At 35.4% G+C, this 26,778-nt stretch overlaps 1 protein-coding gene across 19 annotated transcripts in view, besides 1 other annotated feature; it reads left to right on the top strand.

The window, feature by feature from the left end:
* RASAL2 (RAS protein activator like 2) overlaps positions 1-26,778 on the top strand; it is a 384,747-nt gene that overhangs the window by 319,089 nt on the left and 38,880 nt on the right. For all 19 annotated transcript variants that reach the window (NM_001437625.1, NM_001437626.1, NM_001437627.1 and 16 more), the window contains 2 exons: positions 7,319-7,428; positions 26,230-26,383. In NM_001437625.1, coding sequence (NP_001424554.1) covers positions 7,319-7,428; positions 26,230-26,383 — 264 coding nt within the window. The remainder of the gene's footprint in view (positions 1-7,318; positions 7,429-26,229; positions 26,384-26,778) is intronic.
* Positions 4,272-5,471: an enhancer, noted in NCBI's record as "CDK7 strongly-dependent group 2 enhancer chr1:178386599-178387798 (GRCh37/hg19 assembly coordinates)". NCBI's record gives its function as "activates an origin of replication core promoter dependent on BRD2, BRD4, P300/CBP, MED14 and CDK7 cofactors, with strong dependence on CDK7, by STARR-seq in HCT116 cells {active_cell/tissue: HCT116}" and the evidence as "EXISTENCE:reporter gene assay evidence [ECO:0000049][PMID:35650434]".

Here is a 26,778-nt window from a genome sequence, read left to right on the forward strand (position 1 = left end):
CAGGTGATCCGCCTGCCTCAGCCTCCCAAAGTGCTGGGATTACAGGCATGAGCCACCACACCTGGCCCGTTCTGTTTTTCTTAACAAGGTCTGCTCTCAGAAGAAACTAATCAGAGCCTAACTGATCAGAAGGAAGGGAAATACCCAATTCCAGCACTCTCTAGCCATCCCCTTCCACCTAAGTGGGGTGGGTGGGGTGAGGGGCACTGAGCAGCACTTATGAAGTTCACAGTCCAGAAACACAGACTCATTAAAAGACTGAGATCTAATAGGACTTCAGAATGTTTTCCCCCACCTTACTACTACATGACTAAAGGCTGGTTTACTGCAGTTCCTCTCACCTGGTACCTAGTTTTAGCATATCCTCTCACCTAGTATTTAGCATATCCAGCTAGCAAGAAAATAATTACAGAACATACTAAAAGGCAGAAAACACAGTTTAAAGAGACAGGGCAAGCATCAGAACCATCCTCAGAGCAAGCATCAGAACCAGCCTCAGAAAATATTGAAATTATCAGATCGGAAACTTAAAACAATTATGATAAATGTACTAAGGGCTCTAATGGATAAAGCAGATAGCATGCAAGAACAGATGGACAATGTAAGAAGAGAGATAGAAATTATAAAAAAGAACCAAAAGGGAATGCTGGAAATCAAAAACACTGTAGCAGAAATGAAGAATGCCTTTTATGGGCATATTAGTAGACAGGACACAATTGAGGAAAGAATTTCTGAGCTTGAGGACACCTCAGTAGAAAGTGGCAAGACTGAAAAGCAAAGAAAAAAAAGACTGCAGAAAAAACAAAAACAGAACAGACCCAGAGGAACCTTAGGTACATATTACTAAGTGAAACAAGCCAGTCTAAAAAGGCTGCAGTATGATTCCAACCACAGATGCTCCTTGACTTACAATAGGGTTATGTCCAAATAAACCCATCATAAGTCAAAAATATCCTAAATTGAAAAGTATTTAACGTCCTGATAAACCTATCATAAATCAAAAAATTGTTCAAACCATCTTAAATGGGGGACTATCAATGTATGACATTCTAGAAAAGGTAAAACTATGGAATCAGTGAAAAGATCACTGTTTGCCAGGGGTTGGAGTGTGGGAGGTACTGAGGGATGAATAGGCAGAGCACAGAGGATTTTGAGTAGTAAATATACTCTGCATAATACTATAATTGTGGATACATATCACCATGCATTTGTCCAAACCCATAGAATGCACAACACCAATAACAAACCCTAAAGTAAACTATGGAATATGGGTGATGATGATGTCAATGTAGATTCGTCAGTTGTGACAAATATTCCAGTTTGGTAGGGCATGTTGGTGGGAGTGGCTATGCATGTGTAGAGGGAAGGGGAGGAACATTGGAAATCTTTATATCTTCTACTCAGTTTTGCTGTGAATCTAGAACTAAGTTAAGAAGTATTGTCTCTGCTTCTATCTTCTATCTTCTGAAAGACATTGTAGAGAATTGGTATCATTTCTTCCTTTAATGTTTCATGGAATTCACCAGAGGAACCCATCTGGGCCTGGTGCTTCTGTTTTGTAAGGTTATTAATTATTGACTCAATTTCTTTAATAGATATAGCCCTATTCATATTGTCTATTTCTTCCTGTATAAGTTTGGCAGATCGTGTCTTTCAAGGAATTGATCTGTTTCACCTAGATTATCAAATCCCTTTTTACCATTTTAAGGTCCATAGAACCTGTTGTGATGACCCCTCTTTTATTTCTAATATAAGTCATTTGGGTCATCTCTATTTTTTTCTTAGTCTGGCTACAGACTTACAAATTTTATTGATCTTCATAAGGAACCAGCTTTTGATTTTATTGCTTTTATCTATTGATTTATTGTTTTCAATTTAATCGATTCTGCACTAATTTTTATTTCTTGTGTTTGCTTTGGATTTAATTTGCTCTTTTTTTTCTAGTTTTCTAAGATAGACACTTAGTATTGGGTTTAGATCTTTCTTCTTTTCTAGTATATGCATTCAATGCTATAAATTTTCCTCTAAGCACTGTTTTTACTGCATACCACAAAATTTAGATGCTATGTTTTCATTTTTATTTCATTCAGTTCAAAGTGTTTTTTAATTTCTCTTGAGATTTCTTCTTTGATCCATGTGTTGTTCAGAAGTATGTTGTTTAATCCCCACATATTTTGGGATTTTCTAGTCATCTTTCTATTACTGATTTCTAGTTTAATTCCATTATGATCTAAAAGAAGACATTGTATGATCTCTATTCTTTTAAATTTATTAATATGTGTTTTATGCCCAGAATTTGATCTGTCTTGGTGAATGTTCCATATGAGCTTGAGGAATCTCTATTCTGCTGTTGTTGGATAAAGTAGTCTATAGATGTCAATTATATCCAGTTGATTAAATGGTGTTTTGGAGTTCAACTATGTCCTCACTGATTTTCTGCCTGCTAGATCTGTCCATTTCTGATAGATAGGTGTGTAGTCTTCAACTATATAGATTTATCTGTTTCTCCTAGCAACTCTTACCAGTTTTGCCTCATGTCTCTTGACACTCTGTTATTAAGCACATACACATTAAGGCTGTATTCTTGGAAAATTGACCCATTTATCATTATATAATGCCATTCTTTATCCTTGTTAAGTTTTCTTGCTGTAATATCTGCTCTGTCTGAAATTAATATAGCTATGCCTGCTTTCTTTTGATTAGTGTTGGCATAGTATATTGTTTCCATCCATTTACTATTAATCTTTATGTGCCTTTATATTTAAAGTGAGTTTCTGGTAGATGATATATAGTTGGGTTTTGTTTTCTGATCTACACTGACAATCTCTTTTAATTGGGGTATTTAGACTATTGACGTTCGAAGTGATTATTGACATAGTTGGGTTTCTAACCATATTTGTTAACTGTTTTCTATTTGTTGCCTTTGTTCTGTGTCCTTATTTTTGTCTTCCACTGTTTATAACCTTTCGTGATTGTAATTGAATGACTTATATGATTCCATTTTCTCTCCTTTCTTAGCATATCAGTTATACTTATTTTTTAAAAAATTTAGTGGTTTCCCTAGAATTTGCAGTTTTTTAAATGTATAACTAATGTAAGTCCACTTTCACATAACACTATACAACTTCGTAGATAGTATGAGTACCTTATAATAAAATAATCTTAATTCTTCCACCTTGTCATTTGTATCATTATTATTCATTTCCCTTATATATAAGTATACATAAGCATATATATCATATAGACATAAGCATATATACATAAGCATACATAATTAAATACATTGTTGTTATTACTTCAATATTAAATCAATTAAGAAGAAAAATAAAAGGTGGTTTTATTTTCACTTATTCCTTTTATACTCTTTGTTTTCTTAAGAAGGTCCAATTTGTGACCTATATTGTTTTCTTTTCTCTCTAAGGAACTTCTTTAAACATTTTTTGCAATGCTGGTCTACTGGCAACATTTTTCCTCAATTTTTTCATGTATGTGAGAAAGCTTTATTTCACCTTCACTTTTGAATGATAGTTTTGCAGGTTATAGAATTCTAGGTTGGTAGTTTGGGTTCTTTTTTTTTCCTCTCAACACTTTAATATTTCACTCCATTCTCTTGCTTGTATGGTTTCTGAGGAGAAGCCAGATGTAATGCTTATTTTTGTTCCTCTGTACATAAGGTGTTTTTTCCTTCTGGCTTCTTTAGGATTTTTTCTTTTTCTTTGTTTTTCTGCAGTTTGAAAATTATATGCCTCAGTGTAGTTTTGGGGGTTGGGATTTTTTTTCTTTTAGGGTTTTTTTTTTTGGCATTTATGCTGCTTGGTATTCTCAGTATTCTCTGAGCTTCCTGGATCTTTGGTTTGGTATATTAATTTGGGGAAATTCTCAGTCATTATTGTTTCTGATTTTCTATTTCTTTCTCTTTTCTCCTTTTGGTATTCCCATTACACGTTACGCCTTTCGTAGTTGTCCTGTAGTCTTTGGATATTCTTTTCTGGGTTATTTTTGTTTGTTCTGCTTGCTTTTCAGTTTTGGATGTTTCTATTGATATATCCTCATGCTTAGAGATTCTTTCCTCAGCCATGTCCAGTCTACTAATAAGCCTGTGCATAAATTTATATTTAGTATCTAAAGTCTGTATTAAATGGCAAGTTCCTTGAGGGCAGAGTTTGTGTTTATCTTTGATTTCCTTACAACTCCTAGTAGAGTTCTCTACAACAAATAAGCATAAGTTTTATTAAATACAATGTATCATATTATGTCATATGAGGTATGATATGATATGTGCCACAAGGCTGGACGCAGTGGCTCATGCCTGTAATCCCAGCACTTTGGGAGGCCGAGGTGGGCGGATCACCTGAGGTCGGAAGTTCAAGACCAGCCTGACCAACATGGAAAAACACCATCTCTACCAAAAATACAAAATTAGCCAGGTGTGTAATTCCAACTGTAATCCCAGCTACTCGGGAGGTTGAGGCAGGAGAAGAGCTTGAACCTGGGAGGCGGAGGTTGCGGTGAGCCGAGATTGCACCATTGCACTCCAGCCTGGGCAACAAGAGTGAAACTCCGTCTAAAAAAAAAAAAAAAAAAAAAAGTGCCACAAAAAGGTAGAATTAAATTACTAGATTTAATTAGTAGACAGTCTACTAATACTGTCTCAGTCAAATGCTTAACTGTATTTTCATTAGAAATATATGTATGATTTTTGGTCGACTCCTCGGCCTGGATCTCAACCTAGGCCTAGCAATCCTATTACAATTCTATAAACTTAAGCCTGGTTTGCTAGCTACATTTATTAGCAAATGTGGTGACTCATTCTGATTGAGTCATAGAAAATAGTACATAAAGCCTTTGCCTTTATGTACTAATGACTGTGACTAATGACAGTGACTCTCCCTAATGACACCAAAATTGTACAGTTGACCCTTGAACAACATGGGGGTTAGAGACACCACCCTGCTATGCAGTTGAAAAATTTCATATAACTTTTGACTCACCCAAAACTTAACTACTATTAGCCTACTGTTGACTGGAAGCCTTGCCAATAACATATACAGTCAATTAACACATCTTTTGTGTGATATATGTATTATATGTTGCATTCTTAAAATTGTAAACTAGAGAAAAGAAAGTGTTATTGAGAAAATCATAAGGAAAAGAAAATATACTATTTACTATTCATTAGGTGGAAGTGAATCATAAAGACCTTCATCCTCATCATCTTCACATTGAGCCTTTTTCCCTTGCCTTTAGTCAATCTCTACATACCTATAATAAGCTGGAGTGAAAAACAGCCTAGGGTATTATGTCTATGTGATATATACTAGGAGTTTTTACACTTAACTCCTTGGATGGCCAAAACAATAAGATATAGCATTATAAGTATTTTCTTTCAGTAATCTAAATAGTTCCACTTTGATTTGAGTAAGTTTGTTTTCATTTTTCTCTAATAAAAGGAGCAATGCCTGCATGTTTAAAAATCACTTGGCTTGGTAAAACACTGTGGCAGTCTATACTGTTGTTCACCAAATATTTTCAGTTCCCTTTCTGAGTACCTGGTAGTACTATATATCCCTTCCTCCATTGAAGTTAGATATGGTCACGTGATTGTTTTGTCAGTGAAATGAGACCAGAAGTGATATGAAGCTTTAAGAGCTAGTACATGTACATAATTTGCTATTTTACCTTTATCCTGCTGCAAAAACTGTAGAAGCCCAGATAGCCTCCCTTAGCCTAAGTTCCTGAGTAAGGACAGCATAGACAGGATCCCACCCCCTCAGTTGACCTGCTTATGGACATGTAACATATTTTATGCCACGAAGATTAGGGGGGTGATTAGATAATCATAACCTAGCTTATCCTGATAAATATAGCCTTCACCCCAAAACAGTGGGCTTTGGTAGTTACTAAAGGAATATAAAAGATTTGATGTGCTAATATTGGCCTAGTATTTCTTTTTCTTCATTATAGAAATGTTTATTGTACACAGCTTATATAAAATGATATTCATCTCAAGAAAGAGTCATTCTCCATGTGTCAAAATATTTTTCTTTGAATTAGAATCTTTGCTTGAAAAATTTTGTTTTATTTTATTTATTTGTTTTTGGGTTAGGGTTTCATTCTATTGCCCCGGCTGGAGTGCTGTGGTACAGTCATCACTTACTGCAGCCTCGAACTCCTGAGTTCAAGCAATCCTCCCACATCATCCTCCTGAGTAGCTGGGACTACAGGCATGTGCTACCATGGCTGGCTAAATTTTTTATTTTATTTTATTTTATTTTTGTAGAGATGGGGTCTCGCCATTTTGCCCAGGCTGGTCTTAAATTCCTGGCCTCAAGCTATCCTGTCACCTCAGCCTTTTCAAAATGCTGGGACTACAGGCATGAGCTACCGTGTCTGACTGAGAAATTTTAATATGCTTCTATAAGATTCCTTTCACCTGCCAATGACAGAATTGTAAATTTCTTGAAAGTAGTGACCGTCATTCATTTTTGCATTTATTCTTTTATTCAACAAACTTTTGTTAAGTGCTCACTATTTGCCAGGTGCAGAGTCGAGGAGGATGTTCAGGGAACTCTAGATAGTTTGGTAAAACTGGCAGGAGGCAGGCAGGGGCCATAGACTGTAAAGCACTTTGTTCCAGTCTGGAAGCTTTAATGATTTCATAAATGATCTATACTTCATTTTAAAATAGTTTATCCACATTCAATACTTAATTTTACAATGCCATATCCAAGGTGACATAGACTGAGTTTTAACACTTCTGAGACCACCAATACATTATATTTTACAACTTAGTTAACTCCTTTTTACATATCTTAGAACAAAGCTTTTTCTCTTCTGTCAGTTATCTTTTAATTCCTCCAATGCGCCAAGTACCTTCTCACCTGGGGGCCTTTGCACATGCCATTTTCTTTGCCTGTTTTCCCTTAGTTTGGGAAATCAGTAGATGTCATTTGTATTGAAATTGCTGGTACCATCTTCATAGAAAGGAATATATTTGTGTATGTTATATTGTTGTGCTTTTTAGAAATCTACCAGTAAAATTAGAAGTTTTTCTTCCATAACTAATATAAACATTAATAAATAATAAATTAGGTGCTACTAGAAAGTTTAGTTATCCCAATTCTCACAGAAGAAAATTTTCTCATCACATTGCCAGGTGGTTTCAAGTGACTATTATTTACAAAATTAAAAAGCTTAAAAGCTAGTTTCTATTTCTGGTCTTTATTGTAAAAGTCTAAATACCTTTTGCAGAGATAGTGTGGACGAGTAACATTCCCTTTTGGTTCTCTCTCCCATCACCTTCTGCCTTTCCTTCTAGGGATTCTTCAGCAAGCGCCTGAAAGGCTCCATCAAGAGGACCAAAAGCCAGTCAAAGCTTGACAGAAACACGAGCTTTCGGCTTCCATCCCTTCGCAGTACAGATGACAGGTAGGAAGTTAACTTTCTTAAAACAAAAAAAGCAGTTTGAGAGTGAATTTTGTTAAGGCATTTTGGTCTATTCTGAATTTGAATCAATGACAAATAGAAAAATACAATAAAAAATTGACTTTTATGTCGTGTTCATATTAAGGCAAGATACAAAATATTGACTCAAATACCCAACCAGTTTAAGAATGTTATAATATTGGAGAGTTTGTGGATACATAAAAACTAATTTCAGAGTCAGTTAAGCTATTTCTGTAGAATCAAGTTACAGTGGTCAGAGGTGTATCTTTTGTTTGGTTTTTGGTAGAATGACTATAAAGAATAATGATTATGATAGCTAAACAATTTTAGCACTGTCGCAGGATGCTTCATACATGTTATCTTGTTTCATCTTTATAATAACCGTATATGATAAATACTATTATTATCACCATTTTATAGATGAGGAATCTGAAGTACAGAGAGGTTAAATAATCTTGCCCAGGGTCATACAGCTAGTAAATAGCAAAAATGGTATTTGAACTTGGGCAGTTTGGCTCCAGAGTCCATGCTTTTTACTGCTATGTTCTGTATGTATAGCATATGAAATTGGCCTTGTTGGTTTGCAATTACATCTAGAAGACGTGCTGAAAAGGAAGCCTGGGTGGATTTCCATAATTAGGACTACTAGCTTGAGTACAGCTCCCTAAGGATAATATGCTTCAAAAATCATTGAATGTGTGCTAACACATTTTTGACACATCATGTCTCGATAATGTTCAAAATTTTGGAAACAGTGCTTGTGGTATCAGCATCAGCACATCATCACCACCACCTATATTTATTAAGTACCTACTGTGTGCCATACGTGTTAAATGTAGTCTCTCATGTAATACAACAACCCTAGATACTATTATTATCCTCATTTTATAGATGAGGAACTGAGGCATAAAAAGTTTGAGAAACTTGCCCAGGGTCACACAGCTAATAAGTAGTAGAGCTAAGATTTGAACTCAGGTCTGCCTCTCATATTTGATACTCTTATTTATGTTTTACTTTTTTTTTCCAGTAAGTGACTTTTTTTCACTTATCTACCTAGAAAACAGAAATAAAATTATAGATTTGCCAAGCAGATGATTACTGTCTTTATTTTGTAAATGAAGGGACTTGATGAGGGACTACTGCTTTATTAGCCCTTCTTGAACCACATTAAAGGTGCTCTGTGAAATTTGCAAGTCAGCCCAATTTGCATTATATTTATATTATTATCTCTTTTATACCTCTTTGTTTTAAGGTAATCATAAAAAAAGATTTTTAAAATATTTTTCTTAGTTTCCTGTTATTCTATAATTTTCATCATTCCAGGAATTCAAAGCATTTTATTAATGTCTCAAAAAATAGAATAACAATTTTTTTTCAGATTATCGATTCTTAAGAACAAAAATGTTGTGCAGCAAATAAAACACTCCCAATTCAATAGGCAATTTCTTAAACTCTGCAGCATCATATAGAAACTTGGGAGACAAGATTTTTTTTTTAAAGTTTACATTATTTTTTAACCTTGCACTAAATGTTACCTTCTTTATTTCAAACAAAGGGCTCTCTCCTATTCCATTTTGTTTTAGGTTGCCCATGGGAATTGTTTGATTGAATTACCAAGAGATTATATTCTCCCAGAGTCTCTTGTATTTCTATTATATAGTTACTGTATTTTTAGCCTTTCCAGTGATTGAAATGTATTATTTGTGACTTTTATAATGTTAATGCTTTAATCAATAGCAAAGTCTTTCTTTCTTAAGTACAGCACAATAAAAAAGTGCTAGTAAATCTCAAATATTAAGTAACCCTTTTAATTTATCAACTCCATTTGAATTGTAGAGATTTCCTATACAGAAATTTTTCAAAAAACTTTTTCTTGTATAGAGGTGTACTCAATATAGTTTGAATGTGTTACCATTTTTAAAAAAGACTCTCTTGCCTTCAGATCATATGAACAGTCAGATAAATAGAGCTAAGGTACAAGATATTGATCAGCTGAGTTCTTTGAATTAGTGCCCTTATAGGTGTGACCAAGTATTTTCTGAAGACCTGATTTTCTTGGGTCAGATACATCAACTGCTGAAGTCAGCCACTTCTTTCAAAATGTTATACAGTGTCTAAATCTAAGTAGCAAAACATTTCTGTTCTTTTATCCAATCTGTGGAACTTCCAGTTAAATGTAGTAAGCAGCTCCTTTTTTTTCCATTTTTAAATTATAAAGTAAAATACTCATTTGTCTTTGTTTTGGAGGGGGAAAAGTTTCAGTATATAAGTAAAGAGAAAAAGAACTAAAGACCCTCTTTATCTTTCCTATCTCCCCACATAAATAACCTTATTAACCATTTGTATATTTTCAAACCTCTTTAAAACTCCATACATAAAGGGAACCCAAGTATATGTTTTCATGTTTTCATATAAATGGGATCACATATTACTTTGTGACTTGCTTTTTAGTATAAATATTTTGTACTCTCCCTGTGTCAGTAAATGTCAGTCCACATCATTCTTTTTAACAACTGAATCTTTGTATGCTACAGTGTTTTTATAATAATGTACCTCACTTCTCTATTGATGGATATTTACATTGTTTCCCTTTTTTGGTACAAAATAGAGATGTCATGAACATTTTTGAACATGTGCCTTTTTGTACTGGTGGCTGGGTTGGATTTCAGAAGTAGAACTGCTTGGTATAGAGTATGTATGTTATCAAATTTTCCTTCAAAAAAGGACCTTTCCCACCAACAAATTGAGATTACTTTTATCCTTCAGACAACCTTTTCCATTTTATCAATATGTTGAAAGAATAGAAATAGTAAAATGTAGTATTTATTATGTGACAGATATATCCTAGGTACTTTATATAAACTAACTCATTTAATCATTACAACCACCCTAAGAGATAGTCACTGTCATTACTCCTATTTTGAAGATGAGAAAACTGAGACGCAGAGAAATTCGTAAGTTGCCTGAGGTTATACAGCTTGGAAAATGAGAGAACTGAGGTTCAAACCCAGGAAGATTGGCTTTAGAGTCTGTATTTGTAATCTTTACTGTGTATTGCCTCTCTAAAAGATGGGATGGGGGGGGATTTCTTTGTTTTAATTTGTATTTTGCTAATGCTTAGTATACTGAATATCCTGTCGTATGTTTTCTTCTTCTGTGACTTACCTATTTCCTTTGCCCATTTTTCTATTGAGTTGTTTGTCCTATTTCTTATGATTTGGAATAGCACTTTTTATTACTACGGATAGTAAGCCACTACTATGCATGTTAATAAAATTTTTCTCCCAATCTGTTTCTTGTGTTTTAAAATCATGTCTTCAAGTTACATGGAAGTTTTCAATTTTCCTTTCTCTGATATGTCAGTCTTTTTGGGTGGGAAGGGGGGCTTATCTGATCAAATTTGATCAGAACATTGAACTCAAGAGGTGAGGGACCTGTTTCTTGTTAAATTCTTCTTTATGATACTCTGCAAATTACTTTATTTTTCCCTTCTTCAAAAGGGAGAAATATTCTATCTGGAGCGATCCAGAGGATAATGAAATAGTGGACATGATATTTTGAAATCTTCAAAGTGTTGTGGTTTTTTTTTTTTGGTTTTTTTTGTTTGTTTGTTTGTTTTTTGGATACGGAGTCTCACTCTGTCGCCCAGGCTGGAGTGTAGTGGCACAATCTCGGCTCATTGCAACCTCCACCTCCTGGGTTCAAGCAATTCTCCTGCCTCAGCCTCCTGAGTAGCTTGGATTGCAGACATAAGCCACTGCCTCCAGCCAGAAATCTTCAAAATTTTTGAGATAAACCACAAACCTTATCTTCACTCATTACACTTTTATTTTTATTTTTTGAGACAGTGTCTTGTTCTGTCACCCAGGCTGGAGTGCAGTGGCACGATCACGGTTCACTGCAGCCTTGACTTCTCAAGCTTACTTAATTCTCCTGCCTCAGCCTCCTGAGTAGCTGGGACTACAGCCACACACTACCATCCCTGGCTTATTTTTATACTTTTTGTAGAGATGGGATTTTGTCATGTTCCCTAGGCTGGTCTCAAACTCCTGGGCTCAAGTGATTTGCCCACCCTGGCCTCCCAGAGTCTGGAATTACAAGTGTGAGCCACCATGCACAGCCCTCATATTTTTAAAAGATAAAATTATTCTCAGGAGGTCTGAGTTACCACTTTAAGATAGCAGAAAAACATTTTTAAAATGGTTAATTTTATCTAAAGAAAGCAAGCTGTGAAAAATACCATAGTTTTACCAAATAATGTTTCTAAAATCCAAATGTATTGATATACAGTAACACACTCAATATGTGACAGTTATGTACAAGCTACTATGCTGTATGCTACAGAGAATATAGCATAGAGAACCAAAGATACAGCCCTCAACCTCGAGGAGTCCAGTAAAAGAGGTAAGTGTCAAGGAGGAAATGGTATCGGTGAAGATAAAATTACTTCTTGTTGAGTGGATCAGGAGAGACCTTAGAGGGCAATGGCCTGTGAGTTGGATCTTACAGGTGTAATTTGAACATAGAAATAGACACGCACACAGAACTTTCCTTGGAATGGAAATAATGAGCAAAAGTAGAAAGTAGGAAATTATGGAGCTTGAAGAGAATTACTGAATAGTTCATGGTATTAACATGAAAAGGGGCAAGGTAGGAAATAAGTTTGGAAAGGTAAAATTCCAGTTTTTAACTTAATGGGTGAAAACAGTTCTGCTTTTTTTTGTCTTAAAAATTAATATGAGAAACAAATATGAACTCCATCTTTAATGAAACTAGGAAAAATATGAGAGATAGATTACTTAATCTATAATTCTCACTTAGATGACAAACAGATGTAGTTACCTACAAAAGGAAATTCTAAAAAGAAGTCTCTACTTAGGATTCAGTTTAGTTGCCAATTAACAGATACCCAAAATAGAAATGACTGAAACAAGGTAGAATTATTTTTTTTTTCACTTCTGTCTGAAAGTGGACAGTCCTGTTCAAGTCTGCCATTCTTCAGGATCTTCAAGAATCTCTTTATAGGCATAAGATAGCTACTAGAGCTCCAACCATAACATATTTGTTTTAGATACCAGAAAAGATGGGCCCATAAAAAGACACATGCTTTCCAGCTGAGTTATCTCCCTTTAAAGCAATCTCTCTGAAACCATACCTAGTTGACTTTGACTTCTGTCTCATTGCCACCTTTTTCTAAGGGAACCTGGGAAACTTTATACCTGGATATATTGGTGGGCCCAATAATATAGGACTCTGTTCTTAAGGAAAGAGAGAGGGATGGACATTGGTAAAACAGCTAGCAGTCTCTGCATAGGAAGTTGATTTACCCACCTACTCTGGAAAGGTTCAGCTTCCACCCAGCTCTAGAAAGTCAGCAGCCAGACTTACCCCTGTCACATAGCAGTTTGAGAAATTGAACCACCCTGGAGAAACAGACCTACAGATAGCTACATTTATATCTGTAGGTTTTTTTGCCTATTAAAATCCCAGCTGATAAATTCATTCCTAGGTAGATCCAAGAGAAATAAAAATATATATTCATATAAAAACTTGTATGTGAATGTTCATAACAACATTATTCATAATAGGCAAAAAGTGATAACAACCCAAATGCCCATCAGCTGATCAATAGATATACAAAAACATGATATACCCGTACAATAGAATATTCATCAGCAATAAAAAGAGTACTGGTACATGTTGCAATGTGTATGCATGTTTTCAACCTTGAAAACACTGAAGTGGGAGGATCACTTTAGGCCAGGACGTCAAGGCTGCAGTCAGCCGTGATCGTGCCACTGCACTCCAGCCTGGGAAACAGGAGAGACTCTGTCTCAATAATAGTAATAATAATAAGCCAGTCAGTCACAAAGTACCACATATTGGATGATTCCATGTATAAGAAATGAAAATGCCAAGAATAGGTAAATCAATTTATATCATCGTGACATATCTGAATGCTAAGGTTTAAAAAAAAATTAAAATTTTCTAGAAAGAAAAAATAGGTTGCATACAAAGGAATGTTGGGGGTGGGGGGATGACATTGGAATTCTCAGTAGAAACAATGAAAACCAGACGTTAGTGGAGCAATGTCTTGAAAATTCTGAGCGGAAATTATTTTCAACCCAATATTCCATACCCAGAGCAGATCTCGAATGTCAAACTGAGGAGTTTGGATTTTAGCCTATAAGAAACAAGGAGCCTTTAAACATTTTTGATCAAGAAAATGACCTAATCAGAGTTTTGCTATGGATGGATTAATCCAGCAGTGGAATTTCAGGTAACTTAGTTTGCAGATACTAAGTCTGAGAGACCAGTTAACAAAAAGCTGTAAGAAGATATAATGAGGGCTCCAAGGCGGATAGTAGCAGTGGAAATGGAGAGGCAGAGACAAGATAGGAGGAACGTTTTAGAGGCAAAATCAATAGGATGTCACAAAGTCATCATTGTTCCAAAGCCATCTAATCAGATAAAAGCCAGTAAAGCGATTTCCTAGAATCAATATTGGCAGCATTTTCACATTAAAGCCATGTCATATAGGAGGGTGTTGGGACACAAAAAGACTCTGTGATGTTTCTGCCTTTCATTCAAATGCACTTAAAACTAGGAAATGACTGAAAACAGTGGTACTGTATTGTCAGGCATTCCAAGATTCCAAATGCCTGTTGCCAGCCTTGCTTTGGAAGTGCTACTTAAATTTACCAAAGACTAAAGGTAAAGATGAGCATATGGAGTAGAATATTCTCACCCACTCCAAACTTCCCTCAAATAAAAACCTTCACAGTAATGTTCTCAATTCTAAGGCTCACTAACAAAGTATGGTTTTAAGTAGTCTACTTTTTCTTTGTCAAAAGATACCTGAAAGTAAGTATGGTGTTCATTGGTAGGTGGAATTATGGAACAATATTCTCAGCTTCTTGAGTTTCTCCTTATTAATTAGAATTTTTTAACTTTTTATCTTGAAATTATATAAAGAAAGTTGCAAAAATAGTACATACAGTTCTGTAGACTCTTCCCCCCAGCTTTCCCCAATAGTGAGGTCTTATAACTGTAGTATAATATCAAAACCAGGTAATGGACATTGGTATAGTAATATTAAATAAACTGCAGACTTTATTCAGTTTTCGCCAATTTTACATGCATTCATTTGTGCATGTGTGTGTGTGTAGTTCTGTCCAATTTAATCATATGTATAGATTAGTGTAACTACTACCATGATCAAGATAAAGAACTGTTTCATTACCAAGAAAGAACTCCCTATGCTACCCCTTTATAGTCATACCCACCTCCCCACACCTATCACATCCCTTAAAGAACTACTAATTTGTTTCCTGTCTCTATCGCTTTATTATTTTAAGAATAGTGTTTCACAGAATCATATAGTATATAATTGGTTGAGATTGGCTTTTTTTTTTTTTTACACTAAACATATGCCCTTGAGGTCCATCCAAATTGTTACATGTATCAGTAGTTTGTTTCTTCGGTTGCTGAGTAGTATTTCATTGTATGGATGTACTACGGTTTGTTTAACCATTCAGCCATTGAAAGACGTTTGGGTTGTTTCCAGTTTTTGCTATCATTAATATGAATAAAGCTGCTGTGAACAGTTAGATACAGGTTTTTGTGAACGTGTTTTCCCTTCTATGGGGTAAATGCCCAAGAGTATAATTGCTGGGTTCTATGGTATGTACATGTTTAGGTTTGTAAGAAACTACCAAACTTTTCCAAAGAGGCTGTGCCATTTTACATCCTGATAAGCAATGTTTGCAGAGGAATTTTTTATGTCCCAAGAGATTTTCACTTATGTTTTCTTTTAGAAGTTTTATGATTTTAGCTTTTATATATAAGTCTATGATCCATTTAGAGTTCATCTGTGATAGCTTTAAATAAAAGATCTTAATTCAGAACTTATTGATGTTCTCTCTATATATATATTCTACATATATATTGAATATATATATATTTTTAAGAGACAAGGTCTTGCTCTGTTGCTCAGGCTAGCGTGCAGTGGTGCCATCATAGCTCACTGTAACCTTGAACTCCTGGGCTCAAGTAATCCTCCTGCCTTAGCCTCCTAAAGTGCTGGGATTATAGGCATGAGCTGTGGCACCAGGCCCAGTTTAAGATATTACAAAATTCTAATCAAAACTACACACTTGCCCCAGCCAAACCAGTTACAGGCAGTCTGCCTGCCTTTGGAGAAGAAAGTATGATAGACTACTTACTTCTCTCCTCATCTGCTCTTCCCCTGTAGCCTACTCACCATGTTTTTAGGCACCCTCCAGGTTTTGGGGAAGGTGAAGCAACAAAAAGATGAGAAAGAGGATAACAAAGTCTATCTTAGCCTTCCATAATGCTCACTGAGCCTAACAGAAATTTGAAGCTGACTTTTCTCTCATGGGGTGATTTGGGGACTTTTTCAGAGATTTATCATCCCTGAGGAGCTCTCACCTATGGTTTCATTGACTCTGACAGATGCATTTCTCTTCCAAGTGCTCACTTGCGAATCCTTTCTAGAAAGGAGTTCTTGATGCTTTGGTTTCTTCATCATGCAGTCTTATGGTCCGCAGGAAACCTCCACAAATCTTTTGCCCTAACAACCTCTAGGACTACAGGCTTATCCAAAAGCATCAATGCTCTTGCTCTGCCACCAACAGTTAGTTGGTCATTTCTCATCATCTAGATTTCCCAGATGGAATCAAACCCTGCCCTCTATGTATCTTTTACCCTTCTCCCTTGTAGGTAGCAGGAGGATGAGCCTCACAACTTCTTTCAAAAATTGTTTCTCACAAAATCTTTCCCATTCTCCATTCTCTGACCACTTTTTATAGTCTTGACATAACTGAGAGGATCAAGGTAGTGGAACTGGTTCTAACACATTTCCTTTGTAAATGCTGCAGTTGATCTGATACATGACTTTGGTATACAGAATCTGTTTTATCTAGGTGTCTCAATTGAAACTGCAATTTTCATATCTCATTGCCTATGTATGTAATACTTCTATAAATCTGTAATCTTTAGCTACCGCACAAAAGGCAACATGGCCCAGTCTTTCCCTCTCAATATTACCTCCTGTCACTCCTGCCAAAAGTCTTCTTTATAGTATTATACTTGTCATACTGTTTCATATTTCTCTGCTTTTGATCTTACTGTCTCCTCTAACCCAAATGCCATTTCCTTTTCCTATACCCTGTCTTTTGTCAAGCTCACTTCTAGTTCATCCTCATGCAACAGTACCCAAGTCAGGAGTTACATGCTCCCTCCCTTCTTTTTGGTATTCTTCCCACATATCATCCTAGACTAAGTGCCTACCCCACCCCCCAACTACCTGAGTCCAACTCTGCATACTTTATTCTAGGACTAACTTTTTTATTGAATTTATCTTTTCATATGTCTGCTTACTGCAGCAGATTGAAAGCTCCTCCAGGATACAATCTTTGTATCTTCATTCCCTAGCACAATGACTGTCCTATTGAGGAACTCAATACACATTTGTTGGCCTGAAACAGAAGAGGAGAGTCAAAACTGACTTCCAGATAATAAAGAATTACAATCTTTTAAAATATGGTCTATGTGGATATGACAACTTCTCAGAAATTACTGGACTCCAAGCCATTAATTAATCAATACAGTCTAGCTATCGATTAGAGTTTCCTATTCCAGATTTACAGCCATGGGCCAATTAAGGATCCCTTAGTTTTATGAACTAAAACCCAATTGAAGTATCTAATTGCATCATGATAACATTTTAAATTCATTAAAATGCTTTATCTTAATAGAAAAAATATTTCTACACATTTACTCCATCTTTGTATTCTTCCAGTGAAGAGTGTATTCAAGAATAGCTTTCCTGATCTCAACCAGATGAATAATTTACATAAAATGAACTAATGCATGTCATATCACTGCAAAAAAAGCTGTGTGTCTACAATCTTACTCCTTCACATTTGTATTGTACTGCAGTTTATGAAATAGATGTGAAATTATAGATTACTGCATTTGATTCTCACAACTGTGTGAGATGTAGGAAGAGAAATCATTATCCACATTATCTACACATATCTTAAATGAGATAACTGAGGTTCAGAAAGAATAAATTATTTACTGCATGTCACATGGCTAATAAGTGGTTCTAGCTGATGTGAATATGTAGGGCTTTTGGCTTCAGTTTGAGTGTTTTTTTCCATTATACTCTTTGTTGTGTGTGTTGATACGAATCCTAACTTGCTGACAAAATAAGAAAGAAGGGAAAAACAAAGGCAAAAAAGTACACACACACACACACACACACACACACACACACACACCCCTCTTATACCAGCAGAATACTATACGGTAATAATTGAGTCAATTTATGATCATAATATTTCTGCAATTTGGAAAAATACAAAGCTGACTCCGTACTGTACTCTTTTCATCTCTCCTCCTCTGCCAAAAAATCCAAATGGATTGAATGAAAACTTAAAAGCACTAAAAGAAAATGTAGCTTATTTCTTATGATCTTGGAATTTAAAAACCCTTTGTAAACATAAACTGGGGGGAAATAATTATAAATATGACAGAAAAAGAACTAATTTACTTAATATACAAAGAGTGTTTACATATCAGTTAATTTTAACAATTAGGAAAATGGTTTAAGAACATGGAATAGCAGTTTATAATTCACAGAAAAGGGAACTGAGATTGCCAATAAACATGTACAAATGTCCTCAATCTCATAATTAAAGAAATGCACACTAAAGCCATAATGAAATACCATTTTTTACCAATTAAACAGGCAAAAGATTTTGAAGTTCAGCCACATCTCATGTTGAAGATAGCAGGTAGAAACATGCACTGCTGATAGACACTTAAATTGATGTTGTCTTTATGGAGGGTAATTGAGCCATATCAAAAATTTAAATGCATATGCCCTTGGATCTAGCAATTTCACATCTGAGAATTTGAAGTATGAATGTATGCACATGTGCATGAAGATATATGTAGTAAGATATTCTGAATTTTGTTGCTAATCACAAAAAAAGGAAACTTAGATGGTCATCAAGGACTGTAAATTATTACAGGCTCATGTAAAGGAATACTATGTGGTCATTACAAAGAGACAAAGTATATCTGTAGGTTCCAATATGGATAGAAGTCCAAAATATTCTCTTAAAAACAGTATTGTACCATCCCATTTATGTAAATGAATATGTATATATAGACATATATGTTTGTATTTAAATAAATTATGTATATTATGTTAAATACATGCAAATATATTGTTATATAAATATATGTAATATGCTATATATTACATACTTTATATAATTATATACATATATGGGTACCTTCGTATAAAATATTTCTGGGTTCACAAAAACTGTTAATGGCCTCCTTTCTATAGGAGGTTGTGGGAGGTACCCTTTTTTTATTCTTTACCTTCTATCCTTCTGAACTCCTGGAATTTTTTACCAAGAGTATTTATCACTTACTGTTTCAGGAGAAAAATTAAAAGATGATTAATTTTTTTAAAAAACCTGTTTCAAACCCATGTCTCCCTCTAGCTATTTTACTGTTGTCACCCCTTCACAATCAGACTTGTGGAATTAATCTTCACTTCCTCATATTTCATTCATTTTCTCAACCCATTGAAATCTTATTTTTGTCCTCTTTTCTGAAACTGCTCTTGCCAAAGTCTCCAATTACCTCTAAATTCAATTCCCAAATTCAGTGGCTACTATTAATCCACCTTTCTTGAGATCCCTCTTTCCTGGCCTTCTGTGATACTTGACTCACCTGGTTTTTCTTCTTTCTCAAATTCTTCAGTGTCTTTTGTCAGTTTTGTAGCTTTAAATGTTAACATGCCTCAGGTTATGTTTTTAGGTTGTCTTCTCAATATGTATGTTCTGTTTCACTGTTCACATCTACCCCGACAGGAACCTCAAACTCAACTTGTATAAAACTTGATTTTATTTGTACTCTCACCTCAACCAGCATTGCCTCCTCTTTCCTATCCCTGTGAAGGACATCACCATCTTTCACCCAGTGTTTCAAGCCAGAAATGAGCAGTTGTCCTGGACTCTACCCTCTCCCCAATTCCTCCAGCATTCCAGTCATCAAAGCCTATTTACCTCCTAAATATCTCTCAGTGCCATCTACTTCTTCCCCATATCTGTTAGTCTAATTCATTATCTTTACTCAGATTACTACCATAATCAATGAACTGGTTTCTAGGTCTTTCATTTCTTTTCTCTCCACTCTCTGTGTACTCCTTTCTTTTTCCACTCCTTAGCCAAGGTAGTTTTACTGAGACACACATCTTACCATGTAATTCCCCTTCTACCACCTAAAGCCTTCCGATGTACATCTACTGGTATTGTGATCAAATTCAAATACCCACACATGACTACAAGTCTGTGATCTCTCTCAAACGTCATTATTCACCAGGCCTCACCCACTCCAACACCCCAGCCTCTTCTCCTTCTAACATCCATACTATAGTAGAGCCACACTGCTGAATTTCTTTCACTGTCTGAACACCACAGCCTTGCATACTGTCATACAGGCCTTTTCACATGCTATCCATTTTCTGTAGATCTCCACACCTGCATATAGTGAAATCCACCCCATCCCCATGAAGATGGTTACAACTTTGTGTTACTGTTTTCTCCAAGAAGTCTTCTCTGAACCACCCCCACCTTAAAATCCTCTACTTAGTGCTCATAGAGCCTTTTTTGGCATCCTTTTTCGTAAGTCTTGTCACATTGTATTATAATGGATTGTTAACTCACTAGATTATAAATTGTGTGTGAGTACACAGACCGTGCTTTTCTTCTTCACCTTTGTATTCCTTGCATCTACCTCTAGTATAGTGCCTGACCCATAATGCACACCAGGTAATTATTGGTTAGATAGATGGATTCATACATATATTCATTTATTCAACCAAACGAGAAACTAATGGGAAAGCAAATCAGTTATGAGTTTAGGAATTACTAAAAAGTCAGTGTTGCCAAGCATGTTGGCTCACACCTGTAATCCTAGCACTTTGGAAGGCTGAGGCGGGCGGATCACCTGAGGTCAGGAGTTCAAGACCAGCCTGGCCAACATGGTAAAACCCCGTCTCTACTAAAAATACAAAAATTAACTGGGAGTGGTTGGTGGTACACATCTGTAATCCCAACTACTTGGGAAGTTGAGGCACCAGAATCACTTGAACCCAGGAGGCGGAAGTTTCAGTGAGCTGAGATTGCACCACTGCACTCCAGCCTGGGCAACAAGAGAGAAACTATGTCTCAAAAAAAAAAAAGTCAGTGTTATTGAACTTCACCAGTTTTTTTCCTCTCTTATCCTTCTACCCATTACTTTTATGGCAATTATGAGACTAAAAGTCTAGCAACTGAAATCAGAAATAAGGAAATAAAAGCTGTAGTCTGTCCACTCTTACTGGTATGTTACTTGAGTTGGATTACGAGTTTGGTTTGGTTTGGTTTAGTTTCTGTTTTTTAAAATTCAATGTAGTTGTGTTTATATTGAATTTGTTTAATAGGTGCTAGTAGATTATATTACCTTTGCAATTTAAGGACAAAAAGATATGTTATAACATGGTACAGTTTCTGTAAAGGAATTGTTCCCTAGTGTCTATCATATTGGAGGCAAGTTGGATTTTCTACTCCCTAGAATATGTCTTAATGTTTATAATCTAGTCTTCCTTCTGTATCCACCTTCACTGTGTGTATACATGTATATGTACCAAGTACAAAGTAGGTAAGGATATTTTTGTCTATGCTGATACATTTCTTTACCATGAGTTTCTCATTTTGAGTGACAACTCAGGCTGACAAATATCCTTCTTCATCATTACCAGCTGGTCCCATTAGACCATCCTGTCCTAGAGGCTGAGAGCAGGGAGAAGTAAGACCTATATGTTATGTTTCCATAAATAGCTTTTTAATGTGAGTGGTGTGGTACATATTTTTAAGCTAACATAAAAATCAGTGAGTAATATAAGCAGTAGAGACTACTGGCTTTAACTACAGCAGGTAAACCAGCTCAGCTGGTGCTGTCAGGATCCTCAGGCTGAACAAGTCTTTGCACATAAGTAGAGCTCTGGCGAATGAGCTCTAATTTCTTTTTTTTTTTAATCCAGGGAGGAAAACCTTTAAAATTATAATACAAGAAAGGATGTGCACTTTCAAATGGCAAACATCAGTTGAAGATTTTCACAAAATACCTAATTGGAAAATAATAAAATCCAGGGAGCAAGTAAAGCTACATTTTTCCCAAAGTGAAAGCTCAAATTCAATTTTTAAAAAACTGATTAGACACTATATAAACTTGCTGGTAGAGTATTAGGGTACCCAATTTTGTTAATTACTACCTAGGACATTTTTAAACAAAGTGAGTGCCTTAGAAATGCATACTGGTGAATACAACAGTATGTTGCTGCACCCAGCTTACTGGCTGAGCTATCTCATCAGGAATTCACTGAAGCAGTCTGGAATCACAACTGCCAAGCCAAGCAGAAACTCACCTGCACTGGAGTCCAGGATTTTATGTGGCAATAAGCATTTTTAATTAAAAGTTTCCCAATTCCTAAATTTGGAACTTAATCTGTAAACATGTAGCAGATTGAGCTAGCACCACCAAGCCTCATTGGAGCTGTGGGGGAAATGTGGCATTCTGAAAAATTGGCCAGTTAAGCTGAGAAAATCCAGCTGTGTTTTACTTAAAATTGCACTAATCAGTGTTATTTTATTCCTCTTTTTCTTCACCAGTGTATCTGCTGTTATGTGAATGTTGGCTCCCCATCTCCCAGCCCTTCACTTTTATCTTTTAAGACTGATTTCATATAGGGATGAGGATTCAAGCAATATAATACTCATTCACTTTAGTGAGTAATAGAAAGCCTCACCTGGCTAGTAGTTTATTTCTTAAATAAGTCAGAAGCAGCAGGTAATTTTCATCAGCAAAGCAATTAGATTTTAACCATTACCTATCACATTGCTAGAGGTCTTGAAGTTTACACAGAAATCAAGATTGTCTGCTGACCTTAAGATAAAAATATAAAGAATATGGTGTGCCTTAATTAGAAGTAAAATTGCCTCTGGGAAGCAGTTTTTTATTTAAATCAATACATAGTCTGTTGGAGCCCTGAATTATTCTTACATGGTGTTCAGGATGATGGGGCAGTATGGGAAGTAGTCAGGGAGAGAACCTGGCCAGTAGTCAAGGGATTCACAAAGTCCACTTTCAAGGATGGGTTAGATTTTTTGATGAAGGCCATTGTCAGATTGGACTGGGAATCATTATTTTAAACTCATTATTCTCCCAATAAATCCACATTCTGCTTTCTGTTAGAGGAGTAAACTCTGGTGCCAAACAGGGCTACTAAAACTCTGTAGTTAGTAGATCTAAGAAAAATCAATTCAGAAGGAGGTAAACATGAATTAGAGGAAACTTGGGGTTACTAATGCTATTACATTGAAATATTTGTACAAATAATGCCTCCCCTGTCCCAAGCCAGTCCCAGGCTGTTTGATCTTCCTGTTTACTATAATCTTGCTTCTCTGGGAATTACTTCTGTCTTCTTAGAGATACTTTCTTCCCAATACAGGGAGGGCTTGCTTATTTATTCAATAATAATGTTGAATATATTCGTGACTTTGGTTTTCAATTCAGTACACACACACATAAAAATGCCAAAAGATATGACATTCTGAACTATGTATTAATTAAAATTTCGGTAACTAGGAAGAGTTTGGAGTTATAATTCTAAGTGGCTTAGTTTTAAATTCTCTTATGGCTACATTTGAAGTTAGACCTGAGTATCAAAATGAAACTTGTTCAGCACTGGAAATACAGTGAAAAAATAGTTTTCACCATCTTTCTGTAAAAGAAGAAAATATATGTAAGCCAGGTAAGTTTCAGTAAAATAATACCTAGAAACATTAAACCACGGTAGGCACTGTAAAGGAAACAGAATACATGTGAGAGAAAGCTTTGTACTTGCAAGGTGAGATATAGGAAATAGCTTCTAGTAGGGGCATGGGAATTGTATATGAAGCAAGCTAAAGTTTCTCAAGTTAGTCCCTAGTAGAGGTTTTACTTTTTATTTTTTATTTATTTTGTATTTTTGGTAGAGTTGGAGTTTTACCATGTTGCCCAGACTGGTCTCAAATTGCTAAACTCAAGTGGTTTGCCCACCTCAGCCTCCCGAAGTGCTGGGATTACAGGTGTGAGCCACCTAGTAGAGGTTTTAATAAGAGATTATCTCCCACTCCCAGAGTTGGCCTCGTCTCTTTTCTATTGCCTTTTACTGAGAACTTGTTCATAGAAATGGATAGAAGCCTCACCATTCCTTCCTTTCTGTCTTAAAGTAGTCAACTTTGCCATGTTTGCAGAGCATGCCCCTTGCGTTATTCAAGCCATAGCTTCTTGCTGCCTTCCAGCTCTAATCTCCTTATAGGTGTAGCACCATGGCAACAGACCCAGCCTAGAGCCCAGGTGCCTTGTTTGTTACCTGAGGGGCTGGGTGCAGCCTGAAGGAATAGAATAAGGAATATTACCTATCCTACAAATTGTTTGGATAGATGAAGTCTTGATCTGTTGTTTGTGTTTCTGTTCTGCTTCTATGGAAGACTTGAAATAACACCTGGAAAACATTTATTCAAAGATTTTATCAGTAACCAAAGGCAACAAAGAAGCCATCTTCTATTTGTTCTCGTCTTCTAAACAGAGAGTTGTTTTCTGACATATAGTTCAGAAAGTGACTTGCTATACCGGGACATGTGGCACCGCTATGATTTGGGGTTGCACTGCCAGGTGGCTCTACCATTGCTTCATGTAGGTAGACGTTTATTTTGTTTGAAATAAAATTAATTTATGCTTTAGAAATTTTTCCTAGAGAATTTAAAAAATAAAAGTTGCCTTTGTCATACCTCCTTCTGTTTTAAACATGCCTTAATCTTTCCTGTTGAGAAGCTCACCCCAGAGCATGAGAGGATTTTTCCTCCCAGCAACTCCTCCTGGGAAAAATGAGCTAGAATTGTTGTTTTGTTTAAGAAAGATTACAGTGTCCAGTTTCCTTAATCAGGCTTCCCGTGTAGCATATTGGGAAAGATTATATGATAATTAAAGTACAATCTTTCTAACATTTAATTATTTATAGTTGATGTACTATATTTGCAGTACATAACATGTCATTGTCTTATACATAGAACAGAAGGAAATAAATATGGAGCTTACATTGTTATATTTTTCTTTTTTGTTTTTTTAATTTTTAAATATTTTAATTTTTTGTTCTTGCCCAATATCAGAAAAATAAACATTGTCATTTTAAGATACAAAACATTAGGTAGCATTTGTCCCTTTTGTGCATACTTTGTACTGTCAACAAGAAATATAAATGTTGACTTTTTTACTTTAAAAATTACTAAATATCAGAACACATGTTTTGCAGCCTAAACTTTAAATGGTGGCTTGTGTGTGTGTGTGTGTGTGTGTGTGTGTGTGTGTGTGTGTGGAAAGAAGAAGAACTAAAATCCTTATAAGCTTAAGATTTTTCTTATTTTATGAAATTTGATTAAACAGTGTTAGAATAAAGGTAGAAAGGAGAAAGCAGCCTTAGTGCTAGTTTCTTATATCTTTTTACTTTATAATTTAACCAAAAGCTACTCTGGCATTAAATATTTAAGTTCCTTTTAGTGTTAATGTGGTTATTTCAAGGAATTAAATGAAGCTACTTATTTAATGTGTTTTATAAAAACAATTGTCTTTACACAAGGCATTTCTTTTTATCCTTATTACTAAGTACTTCTGCTTGAAATATATGTGTGTAACTCTGGGTGTTTACTTCAATAGATACTATAATTATTGAGTCAAACTGCATGGCCATCCAGTTTGGGATTCAAGAATATTGTACTTACGTTTGACTCCTTTAATTCTTTCAAGAGGAAGGCAGTGAAGTACTGGCTCTTGTAGTGACAAGTCATGATTCCTAGCATTCTTCTTATAAGCAACTAGGAAACAAAATCAGCCAGGATGACTGAACGGTGTTGACAAAGATCTCTCTTCTAGATGAGAGTTTGGGCTTTTTTTTCCATGCTGGGAGGTTTCTTCAAGGCATTTTATTCTTTATTCATGCTTATATAGTAAAGCATGTATTGAACCAAAAGCCTGCCAGAAAAGAATTCTATATTGAGATGGAAATCAGGACTTTTGAAAGACAAGGTCTTGTGATAAAAAGTTGAGCTTCGACTCTGTGTGTGTGTGTGTGTGTGTGTGTGTGTGTGTGTGTGTGTGTGTGTGTGTTTTGCCAAAGTAGAAAGAAACAAAATGAAGATTCAGCCACTACTATTCTGTCAATCATATAAGAGGATAAAGCTATAACATGAAAAACAAAAAGAAATCATTTGTCTTTTGGCAATACCTTTGCATAAGAAAGAATATATAAGATAACCTTAAAGAGTATATATTTCTCCGTCTTCCAAAATAGGAATAAGAATAAAAAACAATTTCTGTAATGGGATTTGAAGGTCACTCAAGACTAGTAAAATTATAGTATATTTTTATGCCATATTGAAAAAAAGTGTGTGTGCACTCACATAGATATATAGAGAGAATATATTTGCCACATAAATATGATTACTATTATTGTTACTGTAGATTAACTATTAATTTGTTCCTCATTTATTTCTTCCCTTAGGCATTTGTACATTTATTGTTATCCTCCATTGCATTAGACCTTCATTTCCTTGCTGGCCAAGTTACACTACCTTAAATATCTTTTTCTACTTTTAGGTCTCGTGGGCTGCCTAAACTAAAAGAGTCACGTTCCCATGAATCCTTGCTGAGCCCATGCAGCACAGTGGAATGTCTGGATCTTGGTAGAGGGGAACCTGTATCAGTGAAACCACTTCATAGTAGCATCCTTGGACAAGACTTCTGCTTTGAGGTAAAAATAAAGTGTAGAAAAAAGGAAGAGTAGTTAAACAACAATTGGATTTTATGTCCAGTAATTTTGCGATTTCATTGCTGTACAGTTGATGATTTAATTAACTGGTTTTCAGTTGCTAGAAATTATCTACTTACAGAGAAAAAGTTAGAAATCTTTTCATCTAATCATATTTGCAGTTAAAGTTATTAAAGATAGCTTTGCATTCCTTTTGGCTTTGCCTCCTTTCAGTAAAATTTGATTCTTAGTACATTTTCATCAGGGGACAAGACTAACAATAACATTACATTACTATGTTAATTTTTAGTATTGGTAAGGATGTCACTCATCATGTTATTTTTCTAACCACAGCATCAGTGGTTCAAGATCTGAGACCATGTTTTTCTTATTTATCC

The sequence above is a fragment of the Homo sapiens genome, chromosome 1, assembly GCF_000001405.40.
Source record: "Homo sapiens chromosome 1, GRCh38.p14 Primary Assembly".
NCBI lineage: Eukaryota > Metazoa > Chordata > Mammalia > Primates > Hominidae > Homo > Homo sapiens.